Source organism: Homo sapiens, chromosome 7, assembly GCF_000001405.40.
Source record: "Homo sapiens chromosome 7, GRCh38.p14 Primary Assembly".
NCBI lineage: Eukaryota > Metazoa > Chordata > Mammalia > Primates > Hominidae > Homo > Homo sapiens.
In genome coordinates this window covers 90,765,304-90,780,526 of record NC_000007.14, presented here as the reverse complement: position 1 = coordinate 90,780,526, position 15,223 = coordinate 90,765,304, and the positions used below count along the sequence as shown (strand labels likewise).

At 38.7% G+C, this 15,223-nt stretch overlaps 1 protein-coding gene across 4 annotated transcripts in view, besides 3 other annotated features; it reads right to left on the bottom strand.

Moving 5' to 3' along the window:
* The window catches only part of CDK14 (cyclin dependent kinase 14), a 614,270-nt gene that overhangs the window by 430,064 nt on the left and 168,983 nt on the right, over positions 1-15,223 (bottom strand). The gene's annotated exons all lie outside the window — the stretch shown is intronic.
* Positions 3,356-3,415: an enhancer, noted in NCBI's record as "active region_26252". NCBI's record gives its function as "activates an Ori minimal core promoter by ATAC-STARR-seq in GM12878 lymphoblastoid cells {active_cell/tissue: GM12878}" and the evidence as "EXISTENCE:reporter gene assay evidence [ECO:0000049][PMID:35858748]".
* Positions 13,044-13,543: an enhancer, noted in NCBI's record as "H3K27ac hESC enhancer chr7:90396299-90396798 (GRCh37/hg19 assembly coordinates)". NCBI's record gives its function as "activates a minimal SCP1, AML or CMV promoter by ChIP-STARR-seq in primed H9 embryonic stem cells {active_cell/tissue: H9 hESC(primed)}" and the evidence as "EXISTENCE:reporter gene assay evidence [ECO:0000049][PMID:30033119]".
* Positions 13,544-14,045: an enhancer, noted in NCBI's record as "H3K27ac hESC enhancer chr7:90395797-90396298 (GRCh37/hg19 assembly coordinates)". NCBI's record gives its function as "activates a minimal SCP1, AML or CMV promoter by ChIP-STARR-seq in primed H9 embryonic stem cells {active_cell/tissue: H9 hESC(primed)}" and the evidence as "EXISTENCE:reporter gene assay evidence [ECO:0000049][PMID:30033119]".

Sequence of the window (15,223 nt, the reverse complement as noted above, 5' to 3'; positions counted from 1 at the left end):
AATGGGTGCAGCATACCAACATGGCACATGTATACATATGTAACTAACCTGCACATTGTGCACATGTACCCTAAAACTTAAAGTATAATAATAATAAAATAAAATAAAAATAAAAATAAATAAATAAATTTATAAGTTTTAAAATGAAATAAAAAACCTAATTGGTCATTTTGGAGGGTATTACAGAATCATTTCATTACTTTAAAACTTTCTAAATACAGAATATATCAAACATTTTCCTTCCCTTTCATACCCTTTCATATACACTGTACCTCAGTATAATTAAATATTGTAGTTGATTTGAGGAAGTTTCTCTATAGATGCACTGCATGTAACAAATGAAGACGGAAAGACAGAATTTGAATATCACCATTTTGCTAACCATAATCACTTAGTAGATTATCAACAGTTAGATTCTGACCAAGTCTAAATCTAACTACTTATTTAAAAGGCATAAGGGAACAAGTTAAATAACACCATTAGGAAACAATAAGGAAAATCCAGACTTCTAAAGCTCTATAGGAGAAATTAATCTGTTTCTTCAACAAATCAACTTCAAGGGGAAAAAAGGCATGGTAGGGGTAACCCATGGACTAAAAGATTGACATGTAACTGCAATTCATTGCAATGTATAGACTCAATTTTTCTGGATTCAAACAAAGTGTATTTTAATACTGTATAGTTGATATTAAGGAACATTTAACTTTTTACATGTTATCATATAGTATTGTCATGTGTTTTAAAACACAATGCTTATCTTTCAAAAAATAAATCTAATATAAAGTAATATAAGGTCCGGGGTTTTCTTTCAAAATAATTGCAGGGAATGAATATAGATGAAATATGATCAGTCATGAGTTGCCCATGTTTGAAGATGGGTGATGGCTTCATGGAAGTTTATGACTATGCTCTCTACTAGTTATTTTCTATAATAAGTTCTTTTTTAAAGAATACAATATGCATTGGTATAAATGTGATAAGGGAAAATCTCAGCACGCTATATAAAAGAAATAGGGAGGCTGGGGCAGGAAGATCACTTCTGACCAGGGGTTTGAGACATGCCTGGGCCACACAGCAAAATCCCTTCTCCCTACAAAAATTTAAAAAATAGTTGAGCATGGTGGCACGTGCCTGTAGTCCCAGCTACTTAGGATGCTGAGGTCGGGGAACCACTAGAGCCCAAGAGTTCAAGGTTATAGCAAGCTATGATTGTACCACGCACTTCAGCCTAGGCAACACAGCATGCACATCTTTTTATATTTTTTTCTTTTTTTGAGACGGAGTCTCACCCTGTTGCCCAGGCTGGAGTACAATGGCGCAATCTCGGCTCACTGCAACCTCTGCCTCCTGGGTTCAAGCAATTCTCCTGCCTCAGCCTCCCGAGTAACTGAGATTACAGGTATGCACCACCACGCCCAGCTAATTTTTTGTATCTGTAGTAGAGACGGGGTTTCACCATGTTGGCCAGGCTGGTCTCGAACACCTGAACTCACTATGATCCACCCCTCGGCCTACCAAAGTGCTGGGATTACAGACGTGAGCCACCGTGTCCAGTTGCCCATGTCTTAAAAAAGAGAAAAGAAGAGAGAAAGAAAAGAAAGAGAGAAAAGAGAGAGGAGAGAGAAAAGAAGGAAGGAAGGAAGGAAGGAAGGAAGGAAGGAAGGAAGGAAGGAAGGAAGGTCGGTCAATTTTTACATTCCACAGGAAAGGATTAAGCTGAAAAAAGGAAGATAAAAGAATAAACCAAGAACATTCCAGGCAGATGGAACAACCTGCACAAAAGCTCAGAGGGTGAGAATGTGATGTGTTAAACAAAAATAAAGAAGAGAAGGAGGAAGGGAAAGAAAAAATGGGGGAAGAAGGATAGAGCTAGTGAGGTGTGGGTGGAAGAGCTAGAGAGGACAGGAGCCAGATCACGAAGGGCCTTCTGGGCTGCATAAAGGACTGATACAAAAAACACTGAAAGATCTTAAGAAGGGTAACAGCATGATTAACTTCTGTGTCTGCAGCTCACTCGCTATGGTGTGGAGAATTCCTGCAGGAGCACACAGTGGGAGCCGGAAGGGCAGTCAGAAAGCTGTTGTGGGGCTCTGGGTGAAACTTGGTGGCTATTCTCACCAGGGTACTGGTAAGAGCAATGGGAAAAAAGGAAAATGGTATTTTGAAGACAGAACAAACAGGCTGTTAGGATAAACTGAATTGGGATACGGAAATTATAAAGGATGACTCCATTACTTCCTGATTTTAGCATCTAAGTGGATGTAGGTATCATTTACTGAAATGAGTGAAATTAAAGGATGAAAGATTTAGACAAAATGTATCAAGAGTTCTGTTTGGGAAAAAGATCTTAGTCTGGGAACATCCAACTGGAGACATAAAGGAAGCATTGGTATTTATGAGTCTGGATCTCAGTAGAAAAATCTAGGCCAGACATATAAATTTATGAGTTACTTGGGGGACTGCAAGAGACAGCCAGTTTTCTGTTAAAGCAGAAGTAAACACTCAGAGAAGAGGTAGAAAATATGTAGGAATTTCCTGATCAGAGAATGATGTTCTATATCTAGAACACATGGAAAGAGCCTAAAGGATGGAGGAAAGGGACAGTGTGGGGCACACATTAAGAAACATGATACTTGCAAATGGTTAAAAACAAAAGGGAAGAAGAAATATGAGGGTGCAGTCTGAGGCATAGTGGATGATCAGGGAGTTTTTTTACTTTGGATAGTGCCTGGGATATGACACAGTGATGTGAGGCACAGAGGATTCCATCCTGGCAGTCTCTTGGAAGCAGTGGAATAGAGGCTACTGTTTTGGCTGCTGCTCGGCACAGCTGCCCCTATGTGCACTAGGCAAAGCATGGAGAGGGATGGGCCGAGCTTTTGCAGCTGCACAGATGACAAGGTACAGGTCCTCAACCTTGGCTACATATCAGAATCACCAGAGGAGATTTGAAACAACAATGCCTAGCTCTGCCCCTGATTTAACTGGTGTGGGGTAAAGTCCTAGCATCTGTATTTGTAAAAACACCCGCAGTGATTCTAACGTGCAACCAGGACTGAAAATCATTGTGTTAAACCTTCAGGTTCCAACACCAGCTTCTCACTGCCTCTCTTCCTTTGCCTGGTCTCTCCAAAACTGAAGTCGCCTTTTTACTATAAACATTCAAAAGTTTTTCAACTATTTTGAGTGTCCTCATAGTTGAAAGCTCAGTGGTAAACAAATGAGCCAAGTCCTTACCACGTAAAAGAGATACTGAAACAGCACCTTACTGGAAAACTTACTACTCTCAGGTATAGCTGAACAGCCTGTTTTAGATCCACCACCAGCAACAGCACATCATCCAACTGCCTATGATCCTCTTATCTACCAGAACATAACTGGGAACATTTAGCAACATTTTTAAAATAAGCAGATATATAATAGCTACAGTGTTCTGCAAGTCTACTAGCTTAAAAATCTGATCCAAACAAGGAATTAAGGTTATTTAAGTATGACTTTTTTTTTTTTTTTAACTAACTTCGTGTCACTATTTTGCTTTCTAATTGTTGAGAAACCATCGGAACAGTATTTTCATTAGAGAAGGGGGAACAAGAAGAGCGTGCAAGGGGAATGTCACACCATTTCCTTCGGTTCTGGTTCATAGATTTATCGTCTTCTGTAAAGGTTTGGACATCTCAAGACTGCTAATGCCTCTCCAATTTTTCATAGATCCTCAAAGATCACGGACAGTGATGAAACAGTTTCAACTCCAAATTTCTTTAAAATTCTGTGCAACAGTCATCTCAAGTCTTCAATCAGAACTCCAAAGAGAACCAAAGTACTATCAAATGTCCTAAGACATTTGTTAATTTAATTCACATCTACATTTGTTCTGCACTTTCATGCCTGAAACTAACTCTCCCTGGAAACAATGATATCAGGAGGTGAGTGCTTGCACTTCTTCTGTGACCTTTCTATCCCCATGACCCCTGTGTGTGTGAACTTTAAAGCCGAGCTCACACTCGGTTTCTAATTCTTCCACTTCTCTCATTGAGATGACTTGTGCTTATCTGCTTTGATGTTTGATTGTTCGGTTTTGAGAGACTTTAATCATCCATTTTAATACATTAACCTTCTGGAGTTTTAGGGCTATGGGTTGTATACTTCTCAGGACTTTGAAGAGAAATACTTCCTAGATGCAAGGAATTGTTCCAGGTGGAGCAAGAAATAACATGCATACAGCCCTTGAGGAGATTACCAGCTAACAGAGAAGACAGGAAAGTACCAAGCAACCAAAATGAATGATGAAAGAAGGAAAAATTCTAAACAAAAGTAAGGCAAAGTTATCAAGGACCAGGAATGGAAGAACTCCAAACACATCAAAAGAAGGCAAAGCACAGGAAAAATCTCCAAGTCATCCACAGAGGTAAAAAGTAGTTGTTTACACATACTCTTGAAATTACTAGAGAAGGGCCGTGTTTGATGAGATGGGATAGTTTCATAAAAAATAAGTAAATGTAGATCCTTATGAGTTTTTCAGATTGATTTTTCACACATACTGAGATTTGAAACCTACTATGTTAATTAGTTCTCTATGAGTTTTTATACATAAACATAATACCCACATGTACCATATAATGCCACATGTACCATATAATACCCACATACACTGAAAACTATGAAGAAAGGAATTCTGTGAAGGCAAACAAACACCAAATAACAAAAACTAAGAAGGAAGAAAAGGGGAAGGAGGAAGCCAGGTAGGAGAAGGGTGGGGGGGAGAAAGAGGAGGAGGAAGAGGAGAAGGAGAAGAGGAGGAGAGGAGAGGAGGAGGAGAAGGAAAAGGAGAGGAGGAGGAGAAGGAAAATGAGAAGAGGAGGAGGAGAAAGGGGGAGGGGAAGGGGGAGGGGAAGGGGGAGGGGGAGGAGGAGGTATTTTCGTTTTTCTCTGGTCCTACTTTCAAGCACACTTGTCTGGAGAAACACATTACTGAGGTCTTTGAAAAACCTGTATTTCACATTTCTAGAGAAATCAAATTTTCTCATTCTGAGGTCAAGTTGCCATTTCAAATAGATTTTTATCTGTAGTAGCTTTTTTTTCCCACAGAAACTGTTTTAGAAAAGCAGAAAAGAAATGGATATACTTCTTGATATTATCACTTTTCCTCAATCTTTGATTACTTATTAAACTCTTGCTAATTCTTACATACTACATATCATACTGTATCTAAAAATCAAAGTCAAACCCATTCATTCCTAATCTTCTGTTTTAAAAGCCATATACAGCATCGCGATGAGAATGAATCATTGCATGAGCTAGGATTAAAGAAAAGCAGATAAATCAGATGCTCAACTTTACAGCATTTCAAGCCTCTTGGTCCAAAGATGTGTTTAAAGCATTCTGTTTCTGTTTCTTGAGCAGAGTCATAAATGCCCCCTCTTTCTCTAACAGAGGCATACACACCCAGGATCACACAAGAAAAGTCAAGTTTCCACTCTCATGAAAAAAGCATCTCCAAAGCAGTGAAATGAGATGCACCAAAAAAATCACATCACTGATTCACCACCATGAGGCTCTGAGGAGTCCCCAAGTACTACTCATTGCCAAATAGTATTAACTAGAGATTTTGCATGTCGCATTCAAAAATAGTCATATGAAATTAAGTGAAGCTTAGAACAGCAGGAGAAACAATTAAAACAGCCCTCGAGGGTCATTAAGGCAGGGGTATTCAGAGTTCAGACTCTTCTCCACCCATTCTAATAGAGACCAAAACACACATACACACCCCTGAAGTTTAAGTTATAACCACAATTTTAAGCGAGTATTTTCTTTTTCTGGTTGCCTGCAAAGGCCCTTGGAGAATAAAGAAAGAAAATTTCACAGTAGCCTGGTGAAAGTAATAGAGAGATATTAAGACAAGAGGATTATGAGTGATTTTTATTTTCCCCAATAAAAATGTATTACTTGCATACTTATAGGAAATGTTACCATTGAATATATTCAAAATGAAATTAAAAATAATATCAAGAAAAGCCAAAATTATTTACTTTAAGGCTTTTATGACAAAAAAGGATTAGAGAACAATGCTATATGGCATCACTGATTACCTGAATCTAAAGGTCTGTTCTAAAAATAAGGGTGTCACTCAAAATGAACTGTCTTATAGGCAAGACCATTATCAAGTTAAAAAGTTATTCAATTAAATATAAAGTTGAAAAAGAACTACCTACACATGTTGAAGATCAGGTTTTATATTACTTCATATATAACTGAAGAGCTAAATAGATTTTAAAAAGAACAAATTCTAAGCGTTATATATAACTGGTATAAGAAAGACCTGTGCTGGCCTGGCGTAGTGGCTCACACCTGTAATCTCAGCACTCTGGGAGGCCAGGGCAGGCAGATCACTTGAGGTCAGGAGTTCGTGACCAGCCTGGCTAACATGGTGAAACCCCATCTCTACTAAAAATACAAAAATTAGCCAGGCATGGTGGCAAGCGCCTGTAATTCCAGCTACTCTGGAGTCTGGGGCAGGAGAATCATTTGAACACAGGAGATGGATATTGCAGTGAGCTGGGATCGCACAACTGCACTCCAACCTGGGCAACAGAGCAAGACTCCATCTCAAAAAAAAAAAAAAAAAAGAAAGAAAAGAGGAGAGGAGAGGAGAGGAGAGGAGAGGAGAGGAGAGGAGAGGAGAGGAGGGAAGAGAAGACCTATGCCAGAGGAGAGAAGAGAAGAGAAGACCTATGCCAGTGTTACTTCTAAAACCTACCAAGCAAGCCAGAGTACAAATCAGCCTGATTTTGAATGAACTGGTTTTATACACAGTCAATAAATTTAAAATCAAGATAACAGTCTTTAATTCAAAAATAGAGCCAGGCGAGGTGGCTCACACCTTTAATTTCAGCTAGTTGGGAAGCTGAGGCAGGAGGATCACTTGAGTCCAAGAGTTCAAGGCTGTAGTGAGCTATAATTTTGCCACTGCACTCTAGAATAGGTGACAGAGTGAAACCCTGTCTCTAAAAATAAAGTAAAAGCAAAACTAGCACTGATGTTCAGGTATCCACTATGCGGCAGGCCCTGGGCCAAGGACTTTATTTACATTGTCTCATTTAATCACGCTAATACCTCTGTGTGATAGATACTACCACTGTCTTCACTTTATAAAGAAACTGAGACACAGGGTAGCTAAATAATTTGTTGTAAGTCACACAACTAGAAGAGGCAGGTTCACAATTTGGATCTAGGTGGTCAGACTTCCTAAGTTATCTGTGGGGTTGCAATAATTAAAGCATGAACCACAGAAGAAAGGTGTGTAGTCCACACTCTTATACTACTCCTTTGTTCATCAAAAGTACTCTGCTTATAACTGTTTTTTCTTTCAAGACACTCATGATCAAATTATTTAATCTGAAAGTAGTGTCATTATTCTTGGAGGTTTTCAACTAATCATTCTTTACAAACGTCAAAATAAACCAATATATTTTAGAATGACATTAATAAGTCCTATCCTAATTATAACACTGATTGATACATGTTTATGGCAGAATACTTGGTCAGTACAGAAAAATTTTTCACCAATAGTAATCTTACTATTCAGAGTTAAATTCTTCAACATGTGTGTCTATTTCCTAGGTTTTTTTCATATGTAAATTTTTCCCAAGAACAACATTCTACAGAACTTTAATAATTGGTCATCTATTTCGCTGTGGTTTAATAATATATCCTTTTAGTGGATGGGCTTAAGTAGAAACCCAGTGTATTAGTCTGTTCTTGCATGCTATAAAGACATATCTGAAACTCGGTTGTTTATAAGAAAAGAGGTTTAATTGACTCACAGTTCCACAGGCTGTTCAGGAAACACGGTTGGGGAGGCCTCAAGAAACTTACAATCATGGCAGAAGGGCGAAGGGGAAGCAAGCACGTTCCTCACTTGGTGGAGCAAGAGGAAGAGAGAGCAAAGGGGGAAGTGCTACTCACTTTCAAAACAACCAGATCTCCTGAGACTCACTCACTATCATGAGAACAGCAACGGGGAAATCTGCCTACATGATCCAATCGCCTCCCACAAGGTCCCTCCCCAAACATTGGGAGTTACAATTCAACATTAAATTTGGGTGGGAACACACAGCCAAACCATATCACCCAGGAAGCCTCAAGTTCCAATAAGCACACACCTTCCTTGTAAGGAAAATGATCCCAACACTTATTTCTTTCATAATGTTTCATGGCTCCTGCATTTTGATTTATTGGTGAAAGCAATCTTGCTAGCTAGGCAACAGAAGACTGAGTGAGAAAGCAGTGTAGAGGCCTGGCAGGCACATGGAGGCAGAACCTACCTGGCTGGAATTCAGTTCAGTGGGAGTGCTCTATTTACAGTGACAGAAAACAACCAATCAAATCATCTTCAGGAGAATTCTGCTAGCAGATGTTACTCTATGAACCCAGGTACAGAGACTATATCCAAATGTTCAGTTGAAGACCCTCCATGTCCTGACAACAAATCTCTATCCCAAAAGTCCATCTGTTAGTCTTGTCTCATCAACCTTAGCCTGATTGGAATGTTCCAAAACATTTTCCAATCATTACACAGGTAACATTTATTAACTGAGCATCTATTTACAGTACTGTTGATAGCAATAGGAGGCAGACAAATTCCTAGGCAGACAGGAACGGGTTCCCAGTGAAACTCGACCTTCAAGCCAAGGACATTTTGAAGTCTGAACACCAAACTATCAGTTCCAGATGGAGTCCAGTGACCAGAGTGACAATGTCCATTCTCGTTCAGTACACTTGGCCCCTGATTGGTCCCAGGCCAAGGCTTCACTTCAGCTCCTGATTGGTCCCAGGCCAAGCCTTCACTTCAGCCCCCAATTGGTTCTTTACACTATCATCTCTCTTTCTGAATGGTGATCTTCTCAAGCCTATCCATAAACCAATCAGCACATATTTGACCATTCTAAGCCCATAAAAACCCCAGACTCAGGCTTGCAGCCAGCAACCCATTTTTGGGTCCCCTCTCGCTGCTGAGAGCTTTCCTTCTGTTGCTCAATAAAATTCTACTCTGACTTACTCATTCTCCAGTGTCTGTGTACCTCATTCCTTTTGGTCATAAGACAAGAACTCAGAACTCACCAAACTGTGAGAGTAAAATAGCTGTAACACTCCCTCCTGCTCGCCAAACTCTGGGAGAAAAGAAGCTGTAACATTTCAACAGGTACTGAAGAATAAGTTCATATATATGAGGAACTAAAAGAGATACCAAGCAAGGCAGTAACTGAATCATGCAAGAAGTGTTAAAGAAAAAATTATTCCGATCCTTGTTTAAATAGTAAAAAAGACTATTGTGATAGGTGTCAAGACAATTGCATGGGGAAAGAAAGATTAGGGTCAACTCAGGATACAAAGAACAAGTGAGGACTTATAGACAGAAGCAGGCTGGGGGATTGGTGGATGGAAAATTACTAACAGGAGACATCAAGGCTAGAAGGAATTCTTGCTAAGCGGACATAACATGATTCTTACTGAGGCAGGCAGGGTGATCAGACATCAGGGTGAGGGGATTCTCTCTAGACTGACTAAGCAAGACTCTTGCTAAAACTGGTCTGTGCAGCGCTGTCAAGGATGGGGGCCAAGGGTGACGCCTACTTAAGAAGAGGGCCTGGAGGAGCCTGACAAAGTTTGGTCATGGAGATAGTCTTGTCAGAAGTCAGAAAAGTTTCCTGGTATAGATGGGGCTTGAGTTAAACCTTGAAGATGGGATCAGTTGTAGGCATGTCAAAAGGAGACACAAGTCACTTAAGCGTGAAGGGGTCTATCATGAACAAAGTTGCAGAAGTGAGGCAGCAAAGCACATTTAAAGCCTGGAGAGCAGAAACAAAGGAAGCAGTAAGGATATGGGGAAAGACAGCAGACTCCAGAGGGATGTGGATGCTGGGTCTGCTGCAAAATTAATCCAGTTAAGTAATGTGATATTTGATCTTGCTGGACATCAATCCACGTTTGTATTACTACATTTTTTAAAGTAGAGCTTTGAATGAAGATAATTAAGAACCAGTGAAGTAAAAGCTAACAATCAACAATGTTCACCTAAAGAAGTTAAAAATACATTTTTAATCCTACCCAATAAAGGTCAATTAACTGAGTTTTTAAGTCCACTACATAAACCTCAGAACAGACTATAACGTTAATATACTTAAAAGATAAGTATACTAAAAAGTTAGAATTCCAAGACCAAGACTTCACTATTATAGTTATACATACATACTACAAAATCTGGTAGCAAATCTTCATTGTAATTATTTGAAAACCTGAATACACAATTTGTTAAAAACATCTAAGCTACTTTCAGGGCTTTACAAGCAATTACATGTGTGTTCATCACCATCAAACAGGACATTAGCATCCCTTTTCTATAGAGCAATCTGCTTTGCTGCGTTTAGTGCTACAAAGTAAGGCCAACTGGCAAGGTCTTAACCAAGAAGCGATTCAGTAATGTTAAACCTCAGCTACCAAATCTAGCATCTAATAAAAAAATCTAATTTCCTTTTACGTGAGAAAAAAGAATTTGGCCACTTTGAGGAAAATTCATGTTTATATGGCTTTTCCTTGGATAGATGCCTTTCACACAAGTTGGCTTCAATAAACACTTCAGAAGTGAATGAAGTCCAACTATCTCAAATGAGGACTAAAACAGCAAACAACTACAAAGGACAGATTACATCAGCTTTCTCTGTTCATAGGACCATTCATAAAATAAGTAAGCAATCACCTAAGTCAGCCAGGCGCAGAGGATCATGCCTGTAATCCCAGCACTTTGGGAGGCCAAGGTGGATGGATCGCCTGAGGTCAGGAGTCCAAGACCAGCCTGGCCAACATAGCAAAACCCCGTCTCTACTAAAAATACAAAAATTAGCTAGGTGTGGTGGCACATGCCTGTAATTCCAGCTACTCGGGAGGCTGAGGCAGGAGAATCGCTTAAACCCAGGAGGCGGAGGTTGCAGTGAGCTGAGATGGTGCCAATGTATTCCAGCCTGCGTGACAGAATGAGGGCTCAGTCAAAAAAAAAAAGAAAGAAAAGAGAAAGAAATCACAGAAGTCAGCTTTCCTAAATGTTTCTCCTTTGTGTGTGTGTCAATCCTTACAGTCACTAATAAAAAGCATTCTGATATGCTTTTCACTTAAGTTGAAAATGAGTGTTAGAAGAATAAACTACCTAGCTTCAGGGGCAACATATACTCAAAAGCAGTTAGATATGTGCTCAGTTTTCACCCAAAATGAGCAATGAATACAATTGGCATGACTCTTCTCCAACTGAAACAGATGGGAAATCAGTAGTCATCCTTCCATAATAGCACCTTAGATACAAATGCTAGCCCAGAAAATAAATAGGACTTTGGCTTGTATAATATATTAGCTTATAAAAAGAAGTGTTTTAAGAGTAGCATATCTGTAAATTAGGTAAATTGAATATAAATGTCTAAATTTTTGTATGTAAAATATCTGCAAACAAAGGTTTTAATCACTGATTAGTAACTGTCTACCATTTGCCTCTTAACATTAACTCTTTTGTTCAAAAAAGCCTGGAATGTAGCTATATAAAAATTACTATCAAAAATCGACACTATAAAAGTAATGTCCTGTGTCCATGGTAGATAAGCAACTTAGTCTGCTTATAATACATAGGATTACCTTTCATTTTATCTTTGTTTTCAAATACACAAATTTTTAAAGGAAACATATCATTTATTGTCTTCGTTTTACCATGATTTTAAAAATCCAGACCACTAATTAGTCAGCTGAACTCACAGATTTTGAATCTAAGTGAGAGAACACAATTGCTTAGTTGTCAAATATGCATCCAATCGGTATACTATAAAAATCACCAATTTTGAGTGACTAAAAAGAAAATACAAATTATATCGGATATTCGAAAAAAGAGGACAATTCACTCATTTCAGATAATGGAATGGCTCCAACTCTGAAGTACAGTAAGAAAGTGGCAGATGAGAAACTGAGACGCCCAACTTTTCAGTGCAGCTGTTACCAATGACATACGTAAACACAGGGCCATCATTCATCCTGCCAACTCTGCTTTCTCCAACTTTCAAAAATAATCGCTGCTACCTCTCTGAACTTTCTTTGTAATATACACACACCCACACTCACACACATGTGCACAAATATATATAAATCCAGGAAAAGTTTTTGAAAAGTAGAAAGAGAAACATAACTATACATGCTGATCATTAAGTGTCTCCTAATATTATCTCTAAATAGAGATCTGGCTGCGCCAGCTACAATAATTACATTTACAACTATAAACATCCTCTACAAAACCACGTTTATTGGATGAAATAACCTTAAATACAGTGGTTCTCTCCAGGTCTTACTAATTAAACGAGCCCTTTTTTAACAGAGGGTCAATGGTAAGTTAGTCTAGGTCACATCAATCATCACAACAGTGATTAGCAATTTAAGAAAGTTGTATCTGACAGTTTATGTGAATAAATACGTGTAAACAATATAAATATACCTACGTAGATATGAATGTACAAGGAAGTGACTAAAAACATGAGAACAAAGATAATGAAAAATTGGCAAGAGTTTCAAAGGACACAACAGGTTGAGAGAATCAATGTCTCCCCAACTCAATTTTGAAAACTTAACTACATTCACAGCAAGAGCTGGGGATATACCTCAGGTGGAGGCTCAAGAGGGCTCAGATTCTGATTTACTCAAAAACGTATTAGAAAAAATTTTATTTTTTCAGGTATAGTTCTTACTATAATATTAGTTCCTATGTTATTTGTGAGAAGAATAAAAGGGTTGAAAGGTGCTGGCGAGTCAGGAGTTATGTTTGTCATATGCTTATATGGCAATGAATAAAAAGGTAGTAAGAGAAATGGAGCCCATCAAATCTTGGGCTGAAGTCCACATGAGAAGGCAGCAAAGGAATAGAAAACCTTGTCCAAAATAAATCTATCTGATAGAAAGGGAAGGTGAGCAGTGAGCGCTCTATTTCATGCAGGCACCTACTATACCAAAACTCACAAATCACTTAGGTGAAACAAGGGGGGAAAATAGCTATGATTTCACTGTGGAATTGACTAGAACAGTGGAGAATATTAATAATAAATGACTAGAGAGAAAAAACAGCATGGATACAGAGGGAAAATAAGAGAATTATGCAAGAAATTGGCTATGTACCCTACAGTTAATTATTAACAAGGAAGGTATAAGGTACATGGATGTGCTTTGGTCAAGAAATAGGCCAAGGCAGACATCCAGGCCTGCATGACTCAGTGAGTTTAGGATGCAGGCACATACTCCACTTGTTAAATAACCTGTTTGTGTAAGTTCATACTTGGCTGTAAGCCATTATTTATTGTCTGTTAAAGGTATAATTGCCCTGCTGACACTGTGCATGGGGGGCTTGGTTTAGCATGGGTCAGTATGGCATGGCATGGCTTGGCTATTGCACCTAGAGAAAAAGAGAGTACCGGAGTTGTCCATCTTGCAGATGGACAGAGGGGAGCCAGGGTACTACATGGCTCGACATGGCTCACACTCATGCCCAGAGGGAAGGAGTTAAGCTGCTGACACTGCAGGCAAGGGAGAGCTGGCCGTGCAGCTGTGTGTGGGAGCAGCCAGAGCGGCAGAGCTGGCTGCTGAGAGGAGCTGTGGAGCCGGAGCAGACAACCAAGATAAAGGCGGACAGTGTGAGAGAGCTGTTGATGAGAGAGCTGCTGAATAAAACCATATTCCCCTGCCTATGGCCCCCCGAGTGTTCTTTCAGCTATCTGCCCATCTACCCACTCCCCTCGGACCTCGGCTGGGGCTCAAACCTGACCCTGGACCTTACAATTGGCATAGTCATGGCATGACAGAAGGGTAGGGTAAGAATAGATTTCAAGAAAGCAGATTTTGAAGTTTTACAAAAAATGGTAAAAGTTAAGAACTCAGCTCTGGAGTTGGACTAACTGGATCTGAATTCTGGCCCTGGAACTTAGCTGTGTGATTGTAGGCAAATTACTCAAACTTTATGGGTCTCAGTTTCTTCACCCGTAAAATAAGGGAAATTGTATTATCTCAAATCTCTTCTAGGATTGTTATAAGAAACGAAAAAGAAGTAGCTGATATTCATTGAACATTTATGTGAGACAATGTTCTAAACACTAAATGTATTTGCTTACATACATTCTTCACAGCTGTATGAAATCAATTCTATTATTAACCCTGTTTTCACAGGTGAAAAAAATGGAGTGTTCAATAAATAGTAGCTTTATTTCATAACTCTAAATTACAAAGAGAGAAGTGGTATCAAGGAAGAAAATTCACAAAAAAAGAGATGTCATTAAAAAAAATCACAACTAGTATCAATGAAGAAAATGGAGCAAAGAAGAAAAACAAATGTGCTACACAGAGAGTTCCATGATGTACCTGAATTTCAAAAGAACATGAATAAAAATAAAAGATATTTAAGAAGGATAATTTTCTTATACGTCTAGATCCTAAATGAGATGAAGCCGACAATAAAAAGAGCTATTTCATATCTACACATTATTAGAAAAAGAAACAGGAAGACCAATTACATGGAGCATATGAAATAAAGTTCAAGTGACAGAGAAAATAGAGCTCCTCAGATTTCTCCATCAAGAATATACTTCAAGTGTTTCCTTAATAACTTTTTCTCTTTCTACTGACTCCTTTGTCATAGTCTATATACATACTCGATTATTCCCCATTTAGTTTAAAACTGAAACAACACAAAACACTTCTCCCCTTTCTTCTAGTTCTCTTTTCTTTCCCTGCCTCACTGCTAAAAAGAGTAGCTTATATGTATTTTACCCTACATTTTTTCATCCCCCATTCTCTCTTCAACACAAAATAATTAGTATCCATCCCCACCAGTCCCTTAACATTCTTAAAAAAAAAAAAAACCTTCCTAGTTGTAAAATGTAATAAATTACTTTCAGGATTCATTGATTTGACTTTTCTGAATATCTGACATCATCGTCCATGCTCTTTGAAACTCTCTTTCTTCCTTGGTACTTTGCTGGTTTTCTCGCCACCTCTCTAGACAATCTCTCCTCTGTTCTTCACTTCTCTCTTTGCCCAGCTCTAAATATTGGTGGTCTGTTATTTCATCCCTTCTGTTTCACTGAGATGATACACATTCTTTTAATTTAATAATCCTTTATGCTCTGCTTTGGGCACAGTTCCAGGTGCCCTCAACTCT